This window comes from Homo sapiens, chromosome 4 (genome assembly GCF_000001405.40).
Source record: "Homo sapiens chromosome 4, GRCh38.p14 Primary Assembly".
NCBI lineage: Eukaryota > Metazoa > Chordata > Mammalia > Primates > Hominidae > Homo > Homo sapiens.
The window spans coordinates 10,078,047-10,100,409 of NC_000004.12; the positions used below are offsets into that span (position 1 = coordinate 10,078,047).

Below are 22,363 nucleotides of genomic sequence, written 5' to 3' on the forward strand. Positions count from 1 at the left end.
GGGCCCATGCCAGGAGCTGGGCATGGCTCTTCCCGTGGATGGGCCTGAAACCTACGCAGCTCTATGAAAACAGCTGTTGGTACCTCGGGGCACCGCTGGTCTCATGAGGCCCTCAAGCTGGCTGGTGGAGGAAGCCACTCCATGCCCTGGTCACATCCGGCACCTGAAGGACCTGGCAGCACATAGACCCACCCAGCCCCTAGCATGGAGGGCACTGCCACGCCTGCTGCAGGACTGGGTTATCAGAGGGCTGCCCTCCTGGGCTGGAGAGGGGAAATGAGCTCTTCTACAGAGCACTCAGGACTTGGCCAGGCACACTGTGACCAGACCACACACACAAATTCAAGGGCATGAGAATTATGCCGAGGCAGAACTCAAGGGAAACTGTAAAATGTCTGGTTAGTACCGCACCTTGAAGATGCTGGGAAACTTCTGTCACTCTTCCTTCAACCTGTGAGCCGAGCCCAGCCCCAGGGGATGCCATTCCTTGATTTCCTGACCTGCTACCCTCTTGCGCTCCCCTCCTGCCGCCACTCATGGGGCTGGCTCTGAGGCACAGCTGTGCCCTCCTCGGCACTCCCTCTACCTCACTGTCCACAGTCTTGTGGGCACCCGGGCAGTGAGGTGGGGGAAGTGCCGAGGAGGGGAGGGGAAGGCTCCAGCCCTGGGTGGCAGGAGATGGCGTGGCTGGGCCCCAGAGCAGGTCCCACGCCCCGACTGCCCCCATCCTTCCCCTGACCCCTCGCCTTCCCTGAGACAGCCCCGGTACTCACACAGCTCACACTGTCCCCAAATCACCCAGATACCAAGGACAGAGAGCACGGGGGAGAGGAAAGCGACTTACCACACCCCCAATTGCCACCGTGTCCCCGCCGGGGTGCACTGCCACAACTTCGGGCTCGTAGCCGGGGTTGTCGATGCTGAAGCACTTCCTCTGATCCTTCAGCAGGACAATCTGTGGCACACACAGGCAGCTGGTCAGGCGGTCCAGCCCTTCGGGACAAAACCCTCAGTGGTAGGAGGGGCGCGTCCCTGTCGGGGCTCACTGGAGCTGGGTTTGGCTCCATACCCAACCTCTTTGCAGGGCCACCTGGGGCTCTGAGCCACACCACCTGGACTCATGTCCCGTTTGACAGTTGCTCTAGCCAGTCAGGTGGGGCAGGAAACACAACTAACTGTGACCATTACTGTCATCACTACATTACTTCCAAGGCAGTCACCACAGCACCACCTCTTGGAAAGTCACTTGGCCTCGATGGGAATCAACGTTCAGGGTAAGAAAGGTACTAACAACAGTAAACAAAAACAGCGACAGCCCCTAGGCACGTGCCAGCGCTCTGCTGTGAGTGTTCCAGCCCCACAAGGCAGGGATCGGGTTCCCCGTTTCAGAGAAGAAAATGGGGTACGGTGCTTATGCTGCACGCCCAAGGCTCCAGTTCCCACAGGCTGAGCCGGGACTCGCCCAGAATCCAAGCCTCGGCACCCGCACTGGGCCTTTGCCTCTGGTACATGCAGCAGAGGCTCTGCAGCGGGGGCCTTCCTTCCATCTCCCTTCCTTGTCAATTCTTCCGGTTCTAACTTACTCAACTGCTCCCAGACAGTGGCCTTCATCTCTGAGTTTTGCCTTTATCCCAGTGTGCCCCTACCCAAGCCACCAGCTGTCATGAGGGAAGGCAGCCTCTGCCCCTACCGTCTGGGCTTCTGTTTCTGCGTGGATTGTGGGTGGATCGCGATGAATGGTAGCAGCACCCTGACTAAAACCTACTACTGAAGAGGCACCTCTGTCATCTGCCCGGCTCTGGAGGTGGCCTTACCTACTCACAGGTGAAGAATGAGGGCCTAAGCATTTGCCTGAAGCTTCGTCCGACATGAGACTTGAACCTGGTTGTTTCCTGATCTAAAATCCCAGGCCCCTCCTAGCACCCTCCTAACTCTTTGACTGGTGACAGGGAGCTCTGCAGAAAATTCTGACCCAGAGCAGGGGTTCCAGATGCCCTGGGAGGATCAGGTAACAGCAGATCACAGAGAAATGCCACATGAGGAGGTGCAGAGACCTGGAGCCTGTCCCCTGCACACCACAACCCTACCGGGGTCCTTTCTAACCTCCTGGGCAGCAGGCGCCAGCTGGGCCAGTCTGAACATCCTCTCAGCCTCAGGGGAAAGGGTGGCCTATGATGACCACAACTTTACAGATGAGGAAACCTGGGTCTGGAGACACAGGGCACGCTGCCCTAGGCCTCATCCCCTCACCCACAAAGCCCCATGTGCAGACCCCTTGGCTGGGAAGAGCCCTGCTGTGCAGAGATAGGCCACCTGCCAGCCTTCTAGAACTCCGCTTTGTAGCGTTTCCCCCAGGCCCCGAGGCGCTCCATGTGTGGATTCCCTTTGCACCTCCCCACCCCCACTGGCTGTCCAGGCTGTTTGCAATAATTACTTGGCAGGGATTTCTTATTATCTAGGACACAGAGAAATCCACTGTCCCTAACGCAATTAAGTTCACAAGGCAAAGGAGGGCCAGAGGGTGCTGAAAGCAGCTTTCTTTAGCAGGGCTCGCCACTCGTGCCAACAGGTGCCCCTTGACTTCCCCGGTCTACATGCCAGCAAGCCTAGGCCCGCCAACAGATAATATCTTCTGCAGGGCAGAATTCTGTATAAAGTGGGTCAGGCTTGGGTCTCAGGTGGCTTTGGTCCAGATATTCCAAAGGTGTGCAGGTGGCCCCACTGTCTGGGGTTAGAAGCCAGGCCGGGAAGTCAGGTGCCACCCTTCTGCATGTGGGAAAGTACCAAGCTGCTCTAGGCCTCAGCCTCCTCATCTGTAAGAGGAACCAAGATGGTGTAAGGAGACTTACATGTACTTCCTCATAATCACCTGGATCTGTGAGTGCTGGGGATGGGAAACTAAGGCTCAGAGAGGGTGAGGTAAATGCCGGAGGTCACACAGCTACAATGCAGCAGGGCTGGGATGTGAACAGGAGCAAAGGCAGGCCCACCCCACAGGGTATCTCATAGACTTTACAGGCTGACAGGCAGGCAGCGTGGTCTGAGGCTTAGAGACAAATCCCAGCTCTGCCCTCCGACCAGCTGCGGCCTTGGACAACCAATTTATCCATTCCGTGCCTCCATTTCTTCATCTGTACAACTGATGTGATGGTGGTGAGGATTAAATATGTGAGATCCCTTAGTGCAGTGCAAATGAGCACTCAACCAAAACACTGGCTAGAGCAACTGTCAAACGGGACATGAGTCAAATTCAGCAAGCAGGCACCACACAGCTGCAGGCTCCCACCCAAACACTAAGCCAGGTCCCTACCTGTCCAATGCACACGACCACGGCGTATCCCCCGGGGCCGACGGCTACGCACTTTGGCTGAACGTCCAGTTTCACAACTCCTTGTCCGCTGTTAGAGAGAAAGGAAGCACATTACTTCGACAATGCAGCAGCTCAGGGTAGGTATGCATACATATTTACTGTTAAACCACAGTTTTGCTCCTTAGAAGGCAATTCTATTGCCACCTATACTGGAGAGACTTGCTAAAATATGGGATGGTAGCGAAAAAACGATCCATGACTCTGGTGCAAAGAGATTATAAGTCATAATGGGGGCCCGGGGAGGGGTGGGGGGGGGGGAAGGAGGGGCGGGAGGCGGTGAAAGGCGTTGATTATGCTCCTATTTATCTGTGGTAAGCCCTCATTACACCCAGATGTGGCTTTTGTCCCCCTGTCTGTTGGCTAAAGACTGGAGTTTACTGAGCACAGACAGAATTGAGCTCTGCTCCCCAAAATGGATGGGTAACTTTTAAGAATCCGTTACCTTTAATGGGTGAAAATCATGTTATTTTTAGCCTTGGCCAATGCTATCAAAACTTGTTCTAGAAAGACTCATACACACAAACTTCTTGAAAACTGAGATAATCAAGGAAATTTCTGTGTCACTCGGCCAAGTGTGGCATCCCCAAAGGCTCTGCAGCAAGGTCACCAGGCCAAGGCTGGCTCTGTAAGGGCCTTGCCTTGGGTTATCTGGCCCAGGGAAGACCCTTTTATGGGACGTGTTAAGAGTGGGGTCACCACAGGGCAGTAGAAAGAGGACCAGGGCCCAGATGCCTGGGCTCTGGGGCCGCTTCTGCCACTCATCGGGAGGCCCAATTTACCTACAGATGCCCAGTCTGCCAGGCAGGCAGGGCCTGTGTTACCTACAAGGACGGCACACCTGCTAGGAGTTGCGTGCTGCACCCTGTGCCAGGCTCCCATCAACAGGCCCCAGGAGTCCCCATCTCCCAGGCAACACGACTTAGGCAGGACTACCGGGTGACAAAGGGGTCTACACAAGAAATGTAGGGCCAGAGGAGGGGTCAGACCTGGGCATGGGGACACTGGATGTGCAGTGGCCTCGTCAGGTCCTGGAACATTTCTCTTTCAAGTCCCTCCAACTGCATTTAGGACTTCAGATCACTTGCAAACTGCTACTCTCCTAGCTCCACTGACTGCCAATCAAAGGCCCAAGACCAAAAACAAACAAGACATTGTCTTTTAACCAGATCACTGTGTGCCCATCTCACCCTTGAGCAGAAGGGGAATGCTGTCTTGTACTCAGCACCTGCCCTGTGCCAGGCTCACCTAATCCACAACAGCCTGAGGCAGGCTCCACTGTACCCGCCTTTACTGATGAGGAAAGGGACACAGGGAGAGACCGCAGCAGGTTCCTGGAGAACAGGGCTGTGATCTGCTGCCCCTGCTTCCAGGGCAGAGTCCACACCTGGTCGTTGTCTGTGGGCAAGAGCATTACCCAGACCACCTGGATCTGTAACACAGTGCTGGGCTCAGGGCCCAACAACAGGAGAACAATGCTGGGGACGGGGTGGGAGAGATGAAAGGAGCAAGTGAGGCGTCCTCCAGAACAGTAACTGCTGGAGGGCACAAGCCCTCCGAGGGGAGCTGAGGCTCATCCGGAACCCCCGCAGACCCGAGTGCTCTCACCTGTAGTCCCGCAGCATGAGGCTGGTGTACCGCACGGTGTCGTCCATGCTGCAGCTGATGAGCTGCCCCGACTCATCCACGGTCATCCTGGACACCTGGTTCGTGTGGCCTTTCCCAGCGAAGGAGTCGTTCTCCCCCGTCTCTGAATCCCAGTAATGTAGGGTGGGGTTAAGGAAAAGCCCGGCTCCCAGGACTGCTGGGTGTTCTCAGGTGTGGCTTCAGTCCTAAGATTCTCCATTTACATCAAGAATGAGAATCTCGCCGCAAACGGACATAACCATTCCCCCTGGGAAGCCTGCAGTGTCCACTGTTGACACGTTCTTAGGAAGGGGTATCTGAAGTGTGGGTGCACCACACAGGGATTGGGATGAGGCAGAAAGGGAGCCGTGCTGAAGGCCTACTGGGGACCAGCAAGCTGGGGAGGCTCCGGCGTCTCCTCTGCTACTAGTTATCGGGTAGGCGCAACCCTCTAACCCCACATTTCTTTATGTTTTGGGGGCAGAGGGTGGCATGTCTGCCCTCCTCTCCCAGCCTGGGGGGACCTCCTTGGGTCCCGGACAGTCCCTTTGGGAGGTACAGCACATGCGGACCAGAGCTGTCCACACAAAAGGCAGTCTCCAACACAGCACGGTGCTCAGGGAGGGCAGCAGAACAACGCACAGCAGGTGCCATCATCAGCAACGTGTGTGGGCATCCCTGCCCAGGCACTCTGCAGATGGTGGCTCCAAGGTTCAAGACACACCCGTGAGCAGGGTGTCACCAGCCCCAGGCCATGCAGGAAAAACACAACAGAAGCCCCCATCATCAGGGAGAAACCAGGACTCATTTAAAGAAACCCAGACAAGGACTTATAAGGGGGACACAAACACCTCCAGGGAACATCACCGAAGGGCCACAAGGCACCTCGCAGGAGCTCCAGCCCTGGCTCTGTGGACCACAGGCTGCATGACTCTGGGGCGGGCACATCAGCTCTCTGGGCTCTGGTTTTCCTATTTTTAAAACAAGGGGACCCAACGTAAGGGTGTCCAGGTGCTTGTGAATTCTAGGAATCAAGAAACCCACCATGTGGAGTAGGGCCAAGGCTGGCGCCAGGTGCCATTGGCAGAGGTAGTGGCAGCCCAAGCTCAGGGCCGTTAAGCCACACTCTCAGGGTTGCACGACAAGAAGGGACTGATCAGGTCGGAGCCGCCCATGGCTTTTCCTCAGCATAAGCCCTGGAGTTGCCAAGGACAACTCCAGGGGACAGTTGCCTGTCCCCATGTACAGACAGGCCACCCCTAGAAGCCACACGGGTCAGAAGAGCGTGTGGCTGTGGCTGCAGCTGGAGCCACCTGGCTGGCCTGGCCTCTGGCATCATGGGAACAGGAAATTCCCCCCTAGAGCCAGCGGCTCCGGAGCCAGCTCTTTGAGTCAAAGGATATTAATGTGTCCGTCGTGGCTCCCAGAGTAAATGTAGGACTTGCCGCCGTTTTTATGCACCGTCAGACACTGGATCGATTTACTGTGACCCTGTGAAGGAGACACACTGGGCGGGTAAGCTGATGACACACTGCCCTGCCCTCTGCCACCCGCTTTCCACCAACGAAGCTTCTGGGTAATGGAGGGGGCAGACGCCCCTCAATCCATGGCAGTGCAGGTGCTCTGAGGCCCCAGTAGCCCCAGCTGCCCGAATGCACGGCCCACGAGCCCTAAGAAACCTTTCCAAAGCTACCCAGTCACCTACAGACCCTGCCCTTCATTCCCCTCCCTCCAAGGTACCTAACCCAGACCTGGGCCCAGACCTGCGTCTAACCAAGGCCCAGCACGTCAGCACCTGAGCACCTAACGTGTGCAGACACGTGGCCTGCACCCCGCCGACCAGCACCCGTCGCGGGGAGCCACAAGGGGGTCGGTCCAGGAGGACTTCGCTGGCCACATTCGCTTCAGGCCCTGGTTTGTGAGGTTTCTTCTCTCTCCCTGCCCAGGAGTGCTGGCCCTGCTGAGGGCAGGGGTCTCTCTGATCACTGTAAAAGCCCAAGGCTGTCCGTGAACGCTGACGCTCCTACCCTAACCTCCCTGACTGCTGCAGTGGAGGGCACACAAGGCTGGTCCACAACCAGACAGCTGCTTCCAGAGGGCGGCGTTTAGCCCCCTCCATATCTGAGCCTGAGACAAAAATAACAGCTAGGGTGCAGGCTCCTCATGCCTTTCTCCTGCAAAGGGAGGCCAGCTCCTGGCTGGCCCCTCTCCTCTGAGCTCAGGGCTTTTCCGCAGGAATTCTTGATCTCTGTGGTATGCCACATGTTGCCACAATATGGCATAGATCTTTGGATGCAGGTCTCCTTGGAGACAGGTACACAGTTACCAGTGGGACTGGAGAATGGGCAACGAATGCAGCTACTTTCATCTTTTCCACAGAGACGTGGGGAAAAATCATCACATGCCCCAGTAAGAGACACTGAGCTGGGCGGCCTCCTTCCAATGTGGCATCCCACCAGTCCCTTACAGCGCGGACCTCAGACCAGCACAGCCCCCACCAGCAGGGCTCAGGCCCACCTTCCTGCCAAATCAGAACGTGCACTCGGCAAGAGGCCAAGAGACTTGTGTGCAGGCTCAATGCCTTGAACTTACCAGAAACACTCCTAGCCATGCCCAGATGCCCACGGGTGTTCCTTCTGGAGGCCTGCAAGCTCCTGCTGCCCTGAGACTTCCCTGTAAACTTAGTGCCTCTGGGGGCGTCAGCAGCCAGCGCTTTTTAGAGCTCCCAGGTGGTTCTAACACGCAGCCTGGGCTGATACCTGCTGCTCCATCCCACTGCAGCCCAGATCAGCACCGAACATCAGCATCTGCGTGACTCACACAGGTGTGGCATTTGAGAGTTGGGACATGGGGGTTTTGACAACTGGCCCTTGGGGTTTTGGTGGAAGGGTGGGATGCTGGTTGCTTTTTTGGGACATAAGTTTAGCCACGGTGGCAGGCCGGGTGCACTGGCCCCAGACAGTTGGCAGCAGTGGTATTAGGAAGAGCACTCTCAGGGCAGCCCTGCCAACAGAAACGGGACGGCAGACCTGAGGGCTGACACCTGGAGAACACTGTCGGGGATGGCTCATGGGAAACTGTTTTTCTGGGCAGTAGCGAAGCCTTACTCACCCGTGTACAATTTCTCACCATCCCACTTGGAGGCCCACTGGAGCATGGTCTCGACAAGAGCCCTCAGCTCCCCCAGGCAACAACCTCCTCGGCCCCATGCTGTGCGTGCCTTCCTTTTTATACTCATCACCCTGGGCTGTGAGCCCAGCAAGGAGGCGCTCCCGATTCCCCTCTATCCTCGAGGCCACGTCTAGTGAACCTTTATGGTTCAGCCTTCCCCCTCTCAGCAGTGCTGCTGCCCCCACTGCCCCGGCACAAAGGAACCGTGACTCTATGCATGAGCGTTGAGGTGACCTGGTCCGTAGGAGTCACACACACAACGTTAACGAGGCCCCTTCCTCGTGGGCAAACTCCCATGTAGAATGGATTTGGTGATTCTAGCAGCCCCTCCTAGAAGCCGTGGTGTGAAGGAGCCACTGACAGCACAGCACGGGCCGAGTGCACAGGCCCGGGGGCTGCTCCAGGCTGGCCCACACTAGCCCTGCAGGGTTCAGACCCTCTGCAGAGGCTGGTCCCCCAGAGCTCCACGGCAGCAGGATGCAATGGGTGAGGGAAGTGCTAGGGTTTGTCTCCCCGAGTGGCTTAAAGCAGGAGCCCGAGAAGGGCTGCTGGGATGAAGTGCATTGTCCACCTGCCTTGATATTACAGCTTAGAATAGCAGGAGGGGTCACCCACCCTGGGCCACCAGCGCTGGGGGAACCTGACTTGGAGTTCCCAGCAGATGCAGTGTGGGAAGCAGGCGAGGGCGCTGCTGTGAGAGGAGGACCTGAGGATACAGAAGGGACCCCTGCTCTGGCTCCTGTCCAGCTGCGAGATTCCCAGAGGCGTCAACTTGGCTGGTGTGGGTGGAGGGAGAAGGCAGGACCCCCCCAGCCAATGGAACACAGGGAGCCTTTGGCTCAAGTGAACCCTTCCGGGTTAGGGTTCAGAAGCAGGCACCTTGCTCCTCCCCAGGTTGGCATTTGGGGCCTTCACACCTGGGACCCATGGATGATTCTAACTCCGTTTCCTCCTGCTCCCATCGCTCCCTTATGGAACTCCAGTATCTCCTTCACACCCTGCCCACCACATTCAAACTCCAGGCAGCGCCAAGGCCCAGGCCCAAGGCCACCTGCTCTTGCTCCTCCCTCCTGCCCCTGGACCTCAGCGATGCCCCGTCACCTGCCCTGGTGCTCAGTGAGCTTCTGCTCTTGCCTGCAGTCGGGTAAAGCACAGGCTGTGCACTCCCAATTCAGGGAAGGCAGAGCCCTGCAGGAAGTAACCGCTCTCAACAGCTGGGGGTGATGGCCACTGCCCCGAATCACTAGGCCCTGACTCTCCAGTTCTCACAGTAGCTCAAGGGGAACTTGGCACCTGGCCTGCCACCATGGCTAAACTCATGTCCCAAGAAAGCAACCAGCATCCCAGCCTTCCACCAAAACCCCAAGGGCCAAGGAGGCCTGAGGACACCTCTCTAGCTTCCACCTGGCTTCCCCTCGGTTCCCCTTCCTTGCTGGCCACTCTGGTCTCTTCCCTGTCCACCCAGCGGGCAGAGCCTTCCCCAGGGCAGGCCTTACCTTGATGACGTGCAGGGGCTTGCTGGGGTTGTTTCTGTCCAGATAGTTGATGTACCCGGACAGGGAGACACTGAGCAGGTGGTCCTTCTGCCATAGGCAGCCCAGCTGCTGGTCCAGAACCGTGGAGCCCATGGGAAATGTGCTGACCACGGAGTTCACGCTGACGTCCCAAATCTTGGAAGTTTTGTCCCCAGAAGCAGAAAGCAAATGGGTGCTGTCGGGACTCCAACTAATCTATTCAGAAAAAAGCAGTGTGTCATGTGCCAGAGGACTACAGACTGGAGAGAGACCCCAAAAAGCAGCTTGTCCACTGCGACTGTTTGAGTAGGACAGAAGGAGCCCAGAGAGAGGGTGGGACATGAGTGAGGCCAAGGACAACACCCGCCTCCAGGTCTCCCGTTCCAGCCACTACCTTCTCCCATCACCTTATTGCGACCTTAAAGCTTTTCTGGGCAGATATAAAACCGCCCCGACTTATAGCCCCTCATTTCAAGTTTTTGTCTAACTCCGGAGTGAGTGTGGATGGACTGACACGTGGACTCGGCCAAATTCCCACCACTAGGCCGGGAAACACGCTCATACTCACTGCGTAAATCCCACCGTCGTGGGCCTTGCTTCCGCCCAGCGCGCACACCTTCTCCCCAGTCTTCCCGTCATAGATGTATATCTTCCAAGAAATAAAAACATGTGGGTCATGTGTGTGTGAACACCCTCTGGAGTAAGCAGTTTCTCCATGGACTGTGGCTGTAGAAAACCGGGGCTCACAGACTAAGCTCCCAGTGTGGTTTAAAAGCAGACATGCATTTACTGGGCTCTGACGACGAGTCTGCAGATGTGGGGAGGGCGATGTCTAAGTTCTGCATGTCAGGACTAGCATTAGGCAGCCTGCGGCTCTGAGCAGTCACGGGAGCAGGCAGACAAGCCATTCCCCACCCCAAAACCCATCCCAGTTCTTACCTGGCCGTCAGCACTGGCTGTGGCAAATCTGTTCCCATCAGGAGAGAATCGCACACAGTTGACAAAGCGGCTGTGGTCCTGCAGGAAAACAATTACCTGCCTGATGAGGGGCCGCAGGCCTGACTCTAGGTTCAAGAATGCTCTCTATGAAACACAGCTTGCAGCTCCAGCTGTTCATCAGTGTGAACTGTTAGTCCACTGGAAAATTTCAGAGCTTAAAAAAACATCCTGGGCAGTCCCTTAGTGGAGGGGCAGGAGTCTGCTCCAGCCTGCCTGCCATGCTGACCGCTCTACCTGCTGGGAAAGCTGATTAGCCCGAGCGAAGGCAGACCACCTCCAGTTATGCCCCCCCCAGTGAGGTGCCCCCAGCAGCTGCCCTCTTCCCTCTGGGCTCTGAAAGAGCTCAAGCCCCAATCCTTAAGCTTCACGATGGCTGAGACCAGGAGGCCTCTTCCTGGAGGCACCAGCCCTGTCTGGCTCTGTTGCCCAGGCTGGAGTGCAGTGGCACAATCTCTGCTCACTACAAGCTCCGCCTCCCGGGTTCACGCCATTCTCCTGCCTCAGCCTCCCGAGTAGCTGGGACGACAGGTGCCCGCCACCACGCCTGGCTAATTTCTGTATTTTTAGTAGAGATGGGGTTTCCCTTTGTTAGCCAGGATGGTCTCAGTATCCTGACCTCATGTTTCCCCGCTTTGGCCTCCCAAAGTGCTGGGATTACAGGAGTAAGTCACTGCGCCTGGCCAATAATTAACTTTTAAACAAAGTTAATGATTATGACCTTCATCAAGAACAAGAGCCTGAGCGACTAAAAGGAAATGACATGACTTCCAGGGGCGACTCTGTTACTCGAATAAGGAAATGAATGCATTCTTTCCGCAGTCAACAAGAGTTTGTATCAGAGACTGATCCTTAAATAAGCAGTTGTAAAGCTGCCAACACCTGCCCTGCCCTCTTGCTGCCCACCTGCAGGCGGCGCTAACCCGGCAAATGCACATCCAGTGCTAACAACTCTCTTGGCACAGGAAGGGCTCGCTGCTCAGCAGGTACGAACACTAACCTTCAGGAAAAGCAATTCAACCCCAAGGCGGATAAGCTGCCCCGCGCTCTAAGTAAATCACGGACTTAATTTTAAAGCATGAGCTACCTGTGTGGGGGACCTGCCTGTGTTTGATTGTGTAATGTTTTCAGTTGAATTGTGCCTCTCCAAAAGACATGCTGAAGTCCCAACCCTGGGACCCAATGAGACCTTATTCAGAAACAGGGTCTTTGCAGATGCAGTCCAGTTAAAATGAGGTCATTAGGGCAGGCTGTAAATCCAGCAGGACTTGGTGTCCTTTTAAGAGGGAAATCTGGACACAGATACAGAGTTGGGGTGAAGCTGGAGGCAGAGATGGGAGTTCTGCTCACAAAAAGTAACCCCCAGGGCTGTCAGTATCTGGGAAAGACAAGGAAGGACTCGGAGTGCGTCCCTGCCCACACCTTGACTACAGACTTCTGACTTCCAGAGAATAAATTTCCATTGTTTAAGGCACCCAATCTGTGGCTTAACAAACTTTGTTATGGCAGCTGCGGCACACTAACACATGTCATCAATGCTGCCTCTGACACTCATGTAATAACCCACCAAGGTGAGCTGTGCCCATTTCACCAATGAGGAAACATAGGCCCAGAAAGAGGAATCAGGTGCCTGGGGGTCCCAAGGGCCACACTCAAGGAAATCGATGTCCCCACAAAGTCCGTCAGAGTCAGCAGAAGATACAGACACCGTTCAGTCTGGCAATGTCCCCAGGGCAGGCAGTTCTCGTAGAGAGGCCACTCCCCGCCCCAGAAATCTCTCTAGGCCCAAGAGTGATGCGACCCCAGACCTGTGGCACAAAAGCAACCCTGGGCTTCCTGCACTTCAAAGATTAAACCATTTCCTCCAGCCAACAACCCAAACTTGCTTGCCTCAGGTAAGCCCTCCTCAGGGTGCTGCCAAGACCTGCTCACGGCTGGGGTCAGGCTGGACACAGGCCCAGCAGGCCCTGGCCCTGCACCTGAACCAGGATCTCCCACCTCATTGACCCGTGTTTTAACTTAGATGAAAGCCGGAGAAATCACACATTCTGACAAGGGGAGTCCCAGTGCTCCTCGGGAGCTACTGAGGGCGACGACAGTCACGTTTCCATCCCAGTGGATGAGCAGATTGTCCTCCCTGCCTCATTTCAGGGAGTGCTGTCATGGTGCTTGCATTCCGTTCTATGACTGAAGAGCTCGTCCTCTGTAGGTTGTGGTCACCGCCCAAGAGGACAGGGATGGAAGCACCAGGCTGGCTCAGTCTGAACTTGGGCTCAGGTCTGTGATCAGCTCATGAGCGATGGGGCTGGCGAGCCCTTTGCCTGCCCCCCGCACCTGGGTGCTGCAAGGCTTGGCCAGGCAAGGCAGTGCCAAACTACAAGGCGTGCAGTACCCAGGCGGGCCCAGGGCTCACTAGGAGATGGAACGGGGAACACAGGACTGGACGGTCGTCTCTGGCTATGGTGCTAGAGGTCACCCTTCCTTGTGTTTAAGCGCAGTTCTGCATCTTGCTTCTTTAGTTCCTTTTGTACCTTTTTCACTAGTTCTAAGGCTGGTCTTCTTTGCTTAAATGGTCTGTGTTCTAAGTTTTCTAGCACTTCTAGGTATGTGAAGTTGGGGAAAGCAGTTTCCCCAGAAGGCCCGATCCACTCAGCTGCTGAGAGTGAAAACCAACTTTCCAGATGGGGCTCCAGGGCCCTCCAGAGACGCTTTACCCCCCGAGGGGCCATGGAGAGCCTGCGGGCAAATTCTTCACAGGAGAACACCAGGCCTGGAGCAGCGGGTAACTCAAAGCCACATCACCTGCACGAATCTGGTCTCCAGTTTCCTGTCCAGAGCTCTCGTCTCAGCTGCGCTGGCTCCTGGGCCTTGGGCAGCTGCTCAGCAAGCCTGGGGGTGCTCCAGCCCAGAGTCATCCCAGAGGTCAGATCCCTAACTCCGCAGGCCCATTTGCATCCCCCCTTCTGCTGTTACCCACCATGAGGGAGCCGTCATGCACTGAGGGCCTGTTCCCGTCGGGGTTAGCCGATGGGGTCCACCTCCTATCTGTGTCAACATGGCCCACGGTCCCTTGTCCATGTCAGTCCATAGGGTCCACATTCCCTGTGTCAAAGGGCCTCACAGGGCAGTTCCCGAGAGAGCTGCAGGAAGGAGCCGGCTGCAGTGAAGGCAGTGGTGGGAGGGCCTGAGGCAAAGCACTTCTAGACCCCCTGTTGGGCGGGGGGTGGACAGGGGTGTATGCACCACTACTCCTTCCAGATGAGGCCACACAACCTTGACCATGACATAACCACAGCTCGAATCCTAGACCTCTGACCAGCACATCGAGTTCTCTCGCTGCCGAACTCCGCTTCCTTGGCCAGCACAGCCTCGCCTTGCCGCTGACTTCGCACTGGCTCCTCCAAGCCAGCCTGAGCTTCCTTGAAGTGCAGTGGGCCAGGGAGATGGCTGGGCCTGGCTGACCCCTGGGTCCTTCTGACGAATGAGTTAAGAACTAAGAGAAAAGAGCTCACCCCAAATGCCCGAATCACCCAAGCCCAGATGAGTGGGTGGGACAGTGGACGCTGATGGCTCTTGCTACAAAATGGAGGAAACTAATCAGCCACTGTTCAATTCCAACCTGTCACAAGTGCCCATTTCAGTGGCTCCCTGAGGTCAAAACATGGACATTCCTACTCCAGTTCCAGGTCCCAGAAGCGAGGACATTCCTGCTCGCGCAAACCCCAGGACCCCAAATCCAAGTCTGTGGTTCACCTCTGCCGACGCCTCCCACAGGCTCTGGCAGGGTGGTGTCATGTGTCCCTCCCTGGCCCCAGAACCCAGCAGGGGCAAGGGAGGGGCCCGGCACAGTCCAGGGACACAGATGCCCCTCGAGTAGCTCATCCCCATCACCTTTTCCTGCACCTCGAGCCAAGGAGTCCAAATGCAGACACTGATGTCTGCTCCTGAAATAGCCCCTTCAAAGAGAGAAGCCGCGAAAAGCCCATTAACCAAAAAAAGCGAGGGCTAAAAATAGCCCTTTCCACACGGAGGCCCGGCCAGTGAACAAAGAGGGAGAGGGATTGGGGAACCTCCCGGGGAGTTCAGGGGCAGCAGCTTCCTGAGGCTGCCCTCACCGGCCCCCTGCCTCTGCCCCACCCCAGCCAACCAGCGGGGCTGCAGCAGTCTCAGTCCAGCCTCATCCCTGGTGGACAACTGACGGTGTCCGGTCCACACTCCTGCCTGTCCTCCCTTGCAGCCAACACATAGCCAAGACTGACCTGTATCAACGAGCCCCCCTCCCCACAGTCCTCACTCCCTCCCACCAATATGCTCCCTCTCACCACCGAGGAAACCGAGGCTTGAAGCACTGAGGTCATAATTAAGTACCACACCCATGTCAACATCACAGAGCGACAGAGCGCTGCAGGCCCCAGCTGGCCTGTCTCCAGCACACACATGCTCACTACCTACCTAGTCAGCTCAGGAACCCTCTGGGAGCCCACCCCATTCCCCCCAGCCTCAGCTGACCCTGTACACAAGAGGACCACAAGCCCACCCTTAGGCTGTTCACATGCCTATGAGCTGGTAGAAGGGGACAGGCTCTCGGTCCCCTGTGCCCAGTCCCACCCCACACAAGCCCAGCACGGGCCTCCACGACCCTTGGTCAATGGGTGTTCCCAAAACACCTTTACACCGTGACCTGCGAGGCTGGCTCTGGACCATCCTTCAGCCCACCCATCCCCCGCAGCAAACTTCCCTGCAAAGTGCCCTGGGGCAGCCCTGCAGCCCGGTCCACTTAGTTGGGCTGAGGGGCACGAAGGAGCTACCCACCCAACTGCCTCTCCCGTCACCCGGGACGGGTCAGCTCAGTCACCATGTTCCCTGGAGAACAAGGACCATATGAAGGGACAAGAGGCTCATCCTAACTAACCGTCCTTGGGGCACCTACTGGCCATGTGACCTGGGCCAGGTCACCCTCCCTGCTGTCAGCCCCCAGTTTTCAGGAGTCAGCCATCAGCCCAGTGAAGAGCAAGGCCAGTCGACAGGAGGGGTGGCGCGTGCTGAAGACAAGGGAGGCGGTCCTGCATGCCCATCACAGGGGCATGGCCCAGGCAGCCACCATACATGCCAGAAGGGCTGAAACATCTGCTCTCTGCCCTGTCTTGAGTGAGGAAATATGAAAAAGAAAAACCACCAGAAACCTTGCCTGTTTTGAGCTCAAATTTTCCTTATCTATCAGGAAGGCAGCACTTCCGGTAACAGCCACAGCTGAGGTTTCCAGCCCTGCTTGGCTCCAGCCTCAAGTGGGAGAACTATGTGAGGTATGAGGTCCCCGCAGGGCAGAGGCAATGGAACAGAGGGAGCAGTGGCACCCCAGTGAGGGAAGCCAGAAGTCTTCCGTGCTGAACATTTTTCCACCTACAATCACAGCTTGTTAGATCTGGCAGTGAGTTCTCAGTTCTGCATCATAAGGCTGAGCCCCCAGGACGACATGCTGCTCTAAGTAACCATTTCATTAGACACAAACTATCCAGTGCACCACCAACTCCTGGGACCTAGGACATGCACACAGCTGTGAGCCACACTCCAGAGGGGGCGTGTGGTCATCCTAGACCACCAAACCAACTGCTCACCCGACCGGAGGAAGCGGATGGCCAGAGAGGCAAAGAACCTGGCCCAAGTAATGCGCATGGCGAAGGCAGACAACAGAGAGAAACTCAGTGGGGCCTTTAAACCCATCCAGGAGTACCTATCCCAGGAGCCTGCCTGGCATGAAGACATCCCCATGGGTGAGATGGGGGAAGGCAGGGAGATGGTCTCGCCACCCTCCCTTTTTCAGGCCACGGTCAGACCCTCTGAGGGGAACCTACCCCTGGGTTCGCAAAATGCCAGTGCTGGAGACCCGAGACCACGGTGCCCAGGGTCTCCTTTCAGAACCGTTCTCCTGTAACCCCGGAAGTTACTTCCGCAGGTCACCTACCGCGTCTTCAATGTCACTGGGTAGGAATGAGCCGGCACCCAGGCTTATTCCAGGCCAAATGTTCCTCCACTCCCATCTTCCTGGAGCCTCATTCAGGCAAATGAAGACCAAAGCTGGGCTACGGTCCCTCAGGACGAGGGGCACACAGGGAATGCTGCTTGCATTTCAGCTCAGGCACAGCATCATGGAGTTCTGCTTCAGCTTGTACTGAAACGCCTTCAGAACATGCCTTGTTCCTTTTCAAGGCAGCAGCTCCAACACGACCCAGCTGGTCCCTCCGCAGTCATACGCCAGTCCCTCTCCCACCTGGGTAACTAGGGAAGCACCTGCCACCCCAGCGCTGCACCCCCAAGCTCAGGGCAGCTTCCTGGTCCCGGCCACAGGGGGCCTCTGCAGGGAGTGGGTGCAGAAGGCGCAGATGAAGACAGGCCCGAGTTGCCACCACAGCTGCTCATTCTCAGGAGGCGAGGGGCGGCAGGCAAGGCCACCAAGGCCTGAGCGCTGGTGCGGAGGCAAAGGCAGCCCAGACTCAGCCGTCATGTGCTGCAGAATGAAAGATCTGGGGAAAAAAGACCACTGCTATGTGGATTTCACAGCAAGTGGAACTTAATTCCCTCTAAAATAAAAAATGCCCACATATGGTTTTAAAATCTTTTACTATAACAGGCTCAATTAATTCCTGAGAACTTCCACATCCCAGGCTTTCCGACCACATCAGAAGAGCCCACATACGGGAGGAAGCCCAGCGATGCTCAGCCCACCATGTCCTCAAAGCTGACTGTGGCTGGGCCTCATGTTAGCACTCACACCTCCTCTCACTTCCCCCAGCCTGCACGCGCTCCCTTTGTCTTGGGGTTGGTCATGGAGAGCACGACCGCAGCTTTCCTCTGGGGTCCGGAGGGCTTAAGTGCAGATACACACCAAAGTGTATCTGCAACTCAGAAGGTATTTGGGGGCAGGTGTGGGGTCCCTGAGCACCCTTCCTGTCCTTCCTATGCGTGGGCAGTTGAGTCCGCACATGTCTCCTGAGCATGTGGATGGTCACTGCTGCCTCTCACACCCTCCCTGTGGCTGAGGGTGCAGCACGCAAGGGTCACTGTCACCCTGTTTCCGGGAGGGCCCAGAGGCATGACTCACCCGAGGGGGGCACAGCCACCTAGCTCTGTGCCAGGCCACAGCCCTTTCTATTTCTCCCAGGTCCTCAGGCAGGGCCCATGGTTGTGGGTTCCACAAAAGACTTCAAGACACATGGTGGTACCCACCCTGGAGCTGGGCTAGCTGGGCAGACATTTGTACCCAACACTCCTGGGCCAGGGCAGTGGGGTGAAGTCCTTTCTGAAGTTAGAAAGGACAACTAAAGAGAAAGAATGTTCTGGACAAGTCCCCAAGCAAGCACACAGGGGCACAGCAGCCTGGTGAAGAAGACAGGCTCCAGCCCACCCCTGGAACAAACTGGTGCCCCTGACCCTGCTGAGCACCCTGTGCTGGGTTTAATGCACAGCTGCAGAGTGGAAATGATCCCTCCCAGGGCAGGCCAAGGAGCCCCCACCCACAGCCGGCTTCTAGCTACCACAGAAGTCTCTGAGCTGCTTCCTCCTGCCCTGGGCTGAGATGGGGTGTGCAGCTGACTCAGCATTACTCACCCTGCTCTGCAGTGCCTCCACCCTAGCGAAGAAACATGGCCTGAAGCCACAGCCTTCAATACAGCTCCCAAAATAGCCAGGTCTCCACTACCTACCCATTAGGTGGTAGCCACAAGAGCAGAGTCTGAGAGCTGCCGCGTGTTCAGCTGCATACAGGGAGCCTCCCTATGCTTTCACCTGCCCAGCCAGGCCCAGCTCAGCCTGCGGTTCCGTGACAAAATGAAGCCTGTTTCACTACGAACGGGGCATCCTTGGAAAGCCCCCTCCTGTACCCTAAGCCAAGAACAGTCTCTGGAAATTCTGCTCACTTTGTGGGTCCCGTCCTCGCCCTTTCCAGCTGCACTGCGCAGGCTATTTATGATTCATGGCATGATGTCACTAAAATGGACAGTGCTCCTCACTGAGCCACTTTAAGGACATGATCTCATTAATCCTCCATGAGGCAGACAGTGAAACCACTGACGGTTCCAAGAGGAGTCCCGAGAACTTGGTCCAATCTGCAAACACAACCTCCTCCAAGGACATCAACAGTCCCTAAAATGTGCATTTCCGGGTCCATTGTTCTTGTCCATCCTCAGCGCAAGCACAAGCGGGATGGGGAAAGCCAGGGCAGAGCCGTGGGGTTGTGCTGAGACTGGCTGCTGGGCTCCTCCCCTCACTCCTACAAAGCTGGGGCAGGAAAATGGGCATCACAGATGCTCCAGACCTGCCAGGTGGCTCTCCTACTTCAAATTCATAGTCAAAACCCTCAGATGCTGCTGGCCCCGGCACACCCCCGTCTTGCAGAAGGGAGAAGTGAGGAGGCTTGGCAAGGCCTGGGTGCCTAAGGCGGGGCGCATGCACGGCATGGGCCTCTGAGATGCTGCCAGCTACACCCAAAGCCTGCCGCATTTCTGGCACATTTCTTCCACAAAGTATCTTTCAGTCTTCTAACCGTTTGTCACTTTGCAGGCGCATCACTGCCCTCACTGTCTCTAGGAGAGACCAATCTGGATGTCCCGCAAGCTCCCTTCCTCTGCCACTTTGGTGGCTCAGCTAACAGCAGGCCCTGCAGGCTCCCCTCTCTAATGAGCACCTCCAGCCCCAGATGCTTGCCTGGTTACACGGTCAGGGACATTCCTGCCCCAATCCCCGACAGGCACACATCATCCTAGGGCAGGGCCCTTCCTTGTGGGAACCATCCATGCCCAGCTGAGGGCCTGGGGAGGACGAGTGCTGGGTGGGGGAGCCCTCCCTCTCTCTGCACACCCCTGGGAGCCCACTTCTGTGTATCATGGCATACGTGGCATGTGCTGTGGTCTCTGCCATCAGCATCTAAACAGGCTCAGCCTCTGCTAGCCTCATGTACAAACCACAAATTTCACCCAAAAAGTAAGTTCACTTACGCCAATTGTGAACTTGAACTTGAATGGGGGTCCCTCAAAGAATGCCGCGCAGTTATCATCGCTTCCCGTGGCCAGCCGGTATGGCCGGCTCTGCTTGATGTCCACGCTGTTGATGACTTTGTTGTGTCCTGTAATCTCGCCCACAGAAGAGCCACTATCCCAGAGGAAGACTGCTCCAAACCTTGACCCAATGACACAGGTGGAAGACAAAAAAAAAAAAAAAAAATCAATCCCAGAAGGCTGGTAAGCAATCTGATAGCTGAGCTGCCAGTGCACAGAGGATGGAGTGACTGTCAGCAGGCAGCTCAGAACGCCACAGGGACAAATGAGGGAAGCACTGGGGTTCTGGCTCCACAAGGCATTTGTCCAAAGGACCCAAGAACAAGATGGGGCAAGCCGGCGCCTTCGGGAAGGGGATGCATGTGTGTGTCTGTGGGGCCCCACGCCACAGGGCCCAGGGCTATCTTTACAGCTTCACCATTCTCCTTACAGTTCTATTGGGAGGGAACAGTTACCATCCCCTACAGGAATGAGATGCCCTGCTCTTGGCTGACATTCAACAAAAACACTGTTTTAGTTACTATTTGCTACTGAAAAAAGAAGGAATTAAGACCAACAGGAATGACTTGAGAAGCCATGGAAAAACACCTACTAGAACATGTACGAGAAAGTGCCATTCAGTGAAGAACAGACATGCCACTGTCAAGTTCAAGGGGTTATGGCCAGCCATGGTGCTGCAGGGGGGACTCTGACTCTCTTGAATTAAAAAAACCTGGGTTTCGGCACCAACCTCACCAGTCACTAGGCCCCTGAGGTCAGTAGCCACCCAGTGCCACCCAGCCAGCATCCACTGCCCCTCCCTCCTCCATCAGAGACCCTTGGGGGAGGTGCCCAGCTGGAAGAAACAGTTCAGCCTCCCTGGCAGCTTCATGGGGCAGCTGCTGTGAGGGACCCCGAATAGAAGTGCTGTTGCTCTTTCACTCTGTCCCCTTCTTGCTGCCTGCAGGTGGGCATGAGAGCTGGGGTTCTAGCAGGCAAGGCACTCAGGACGTCAGAGGAGATACATGAGTGCTGGGCCCTGGTGACAAACCCAGTGTGATGTGGAGTTCTACCTTACCTGGGGCTGCAGCCAGCCCTCACGGGGCCCGGCACCTACTGGGAGCTCAACCCTCACGAGTGCAAGTTAGTACAGACATCAGCGCATCCCCCTCCCAGGGTCATAGCACATGGACGCATGAGCCACAGCAACAGGGCAGGGAGGGGCTGAGAGGAGTGACTCACTTCTCCCTTCCTTCCCCGACCACGGCGATCCTCTTACTGTCTTCAGTCCAAGCAATGTCTTTGATCTTCCCAGCGAAAGGCTGGTACTCATACTTCAACAGGTGCTCCTTCTGCGTGGTATCCCAGATCCTCAGCTTCCCAGACACATCTGTGGGGCACAGCGGGCGGGGGAGGGGGGGAGGCGGTGGTGGGGTAAAGGGCAGGGGGAGAGCCACAGGTCACTGCCGGGCCAGGGCCACGTGGCCATAGGCCCACTCAGAACCATGTCTGGTTGCTTAGGCTTTCTAGAGGAAAAGGCCTAGTGAAGAGAACGTGTCTTAGGGCAACAATATTCAGCCACCCTTAAGTCAGAGCCCGTGGCATCCAGAGGCCTGCCATTTGGGCCTCTGCATTTTGCCAGAAATCTTGCCAGAAATCATCTGGATAACAAACCCTGCTTAGGCATCAGAAAAAGCCCAGGGACACATCATGGTAAACTCCAATATGCCAGGAAGTGGTTTAGTTTTCTCACTGTGTTTCTTTTCTTGTAGGGGCATCAGAATGACGTGTGGGCCTCAGGCCACCTTTGTGGAATGGGACGGCACTGGCTACACCTGCCTCTCCTTTGCAGTTGCTGCAGTGACTTCTGGAAACGAGGTGCACAGCTGTGAGGGTGCAGCGTGCTGCCCACTGCGATGCCTCAGCGTGGCCTGGCGGCCTCCACCTGGGCCTGCAGACCGGGCTTCCTGTGCAGCTTCCCAACAGCGTGCTGCTGCCTGGCAAATCAGCAGCCTCACTCACACACCGAGCAGTTCCACGACGCACAGGAATCCAAGCGTAAGATTCTTCTGTGAGAGTAGCAGGTGGGTGTTGCGGGGGAAGGAGAATTACACACAGAACTCGATGCTGATTCTCTTCTCACCGGAGCGTGGGCAGCCAATTGTAACAGAAGCAACACCGGGGGCCACGTACCCCCAATCCCCCACCACGATCCTGTCACCAAGTACCAAGTCCCAATCCCGACACACCCTCTCCAAATGAGCACTGTGTTGGCGTGAAGAAATGGGAGCATTCTAGACTAACTCTCAAGGCTTCACGCTTTAAAACCTCAGCCCCATCTGCTAAGCAGGTAAAGGCGCCTTTTTAAGAGGATTGTCAGGACACGTTAACAACCACCACAGCTCTACAGCTGCTTCCAGTGAAAAGAGCTTTTGTTTTCTTGCTGCAACTGAGCAGCTCAAAGGAGGGCAGCAGCTAAGAGCCAGGCCTTGGGAGCAGGGGCCCTGGGTTCAAATCCAGCCTCTGCCACACACAGGCTTTGTGGGGCTCAGCAAGCAACATGGCTTGTGTCCTTATCCAGAAGAGTGGAAATAACAGAGCCACTCACAGGGCTGCTGTAGGTTCCACGAGTTAACACGTGCGAAGTCTCCAACTAGTCT

The 22,363-nt window shown here is 56.3% G+C and overlaps 1 protein-coding gene and 1 non-coding gene across 4 annotated transcripts in view, besides 4 other annotated features; both read right to left on the bottom strand.

Moving 5' to 3' along the window:
• Positions 1-22,363, bottom strand: part of WDR1 (WD repeat domain 1) — a 42,461-nt gene that overhangs the window by 3,708 nt on the left and 16,390 nt on the right. The window contains exons 4-12 of one of the 3 annotated variants that reach the window (NM_017491.5): positions 20,946-21,093; positions 19,665-19,845; positions 10,618-10,695; positions 10,247-10,327; positions 9,661-9,894; positions 6,397-6,484; positions 4,976-5,132; positions 3,311-3,398; positions 845-955 (exon numbers count right to left, since the gene is read on the bottom strand). In NM_017491.5, the coding sequence (NP_059830.1) occupies positions 845-955; positions 3,311-3,398; positions 4,976-5,132; positions 6,397-6,484; positions 9,661-9,894; positions 10,247-10,327; positions 10,618-10,695; positions 19,665-19,845; positions 20,946-21,093 (1,166 nt within the window). Of the gene's footprint in view, positions 1-844; positions 956-3,310; positions 3,399-4,975; positions 5,133-6,396; positions 6,485-9,660; positions 9,895-10,246; positions 10,487-10,617; positions 10,696-19,664; positions 19,846-20,945; positions 21,094-22,363 lie in introns of all 3 variants that reach the window. The other 2 variants (XM_017008880.3, NM_005112.5) reach the window with 2 other exon arrangements.
• MIR3138 (microRNA 3138) lies at positions 565-646 on the bottom strand. Its single transcript, NR_036090.1, has one exon. It is a non-coding gene; the product is annotated as a microRNA 3138 (primary transcript).
• Positions 13,149-13,919: an enhancer, noted in NCBI's record as "H3K4me1 hESC enhancer chr4:10092819-10093589 (GRCh37/hg19 assembly coordinates)". NCBI's record gives its function as "activates a minimal SCP1, AML or CMV promoter by ChIP-STARR-seq in primed H9 embryonic stem cells {active_cell/tissue: H9 hESC(primed)}" and the evidence as "EXISTENCE:reporter gene assay evidence [ECO:0000049][PMID:30033119]".
• Positions 16,234-17,004: an enhancer, noted in NCBI's record as "H3K27ac-H3K4me1 hESC enhancer chr4:10095904-10096674 (GRCh37/hg19 assembly coordinates)". NCBI's record gives its function as "activates a minimal SCP1, AML or CMV promoter by ChIP-STARR-seq in primed H9 embryonic stem cells {active_cell/tissue: H9 hESC(primed)}" and the evidence as "EXISTENCE:reporter gene assay evidence [ECO:0000049][PMID:30033119]".
• Positions 17,582-18,781: an enhancer, noted in NCBI's record as "P300/CBP strongly-dependent group 1 enhancer chr4:10097252-10098451 (GRCh37/hg19 assembly coordinates)". NCBI's record gives its function as "activates an origin of replication core promoter dependent on BRD2, BRD4, P300/CBP, MED14 and CDK7 cofactors, with strong dependence on P300/CBP, by STARR-seq in HCT116 cells {active_cell/tissue: HCT116}" and the evidence as "EXISTENCE:reporter gene assay evidence [ECO:0000049][PMID:35650434]".
• Positions 18,186-18,675: an enhancer, noted in NCBI's record as "active region_21308". NCBI's record gives its function as "activates an Ori minimal core promoter by ATAC-STARR-seq in GM12878 lymphoblastoid cells {active_cell/tissue: GM12878}" and the evidence as "EXISTENCE:reporter gene assay evidence [ECO:0000049][PMID:35858748]".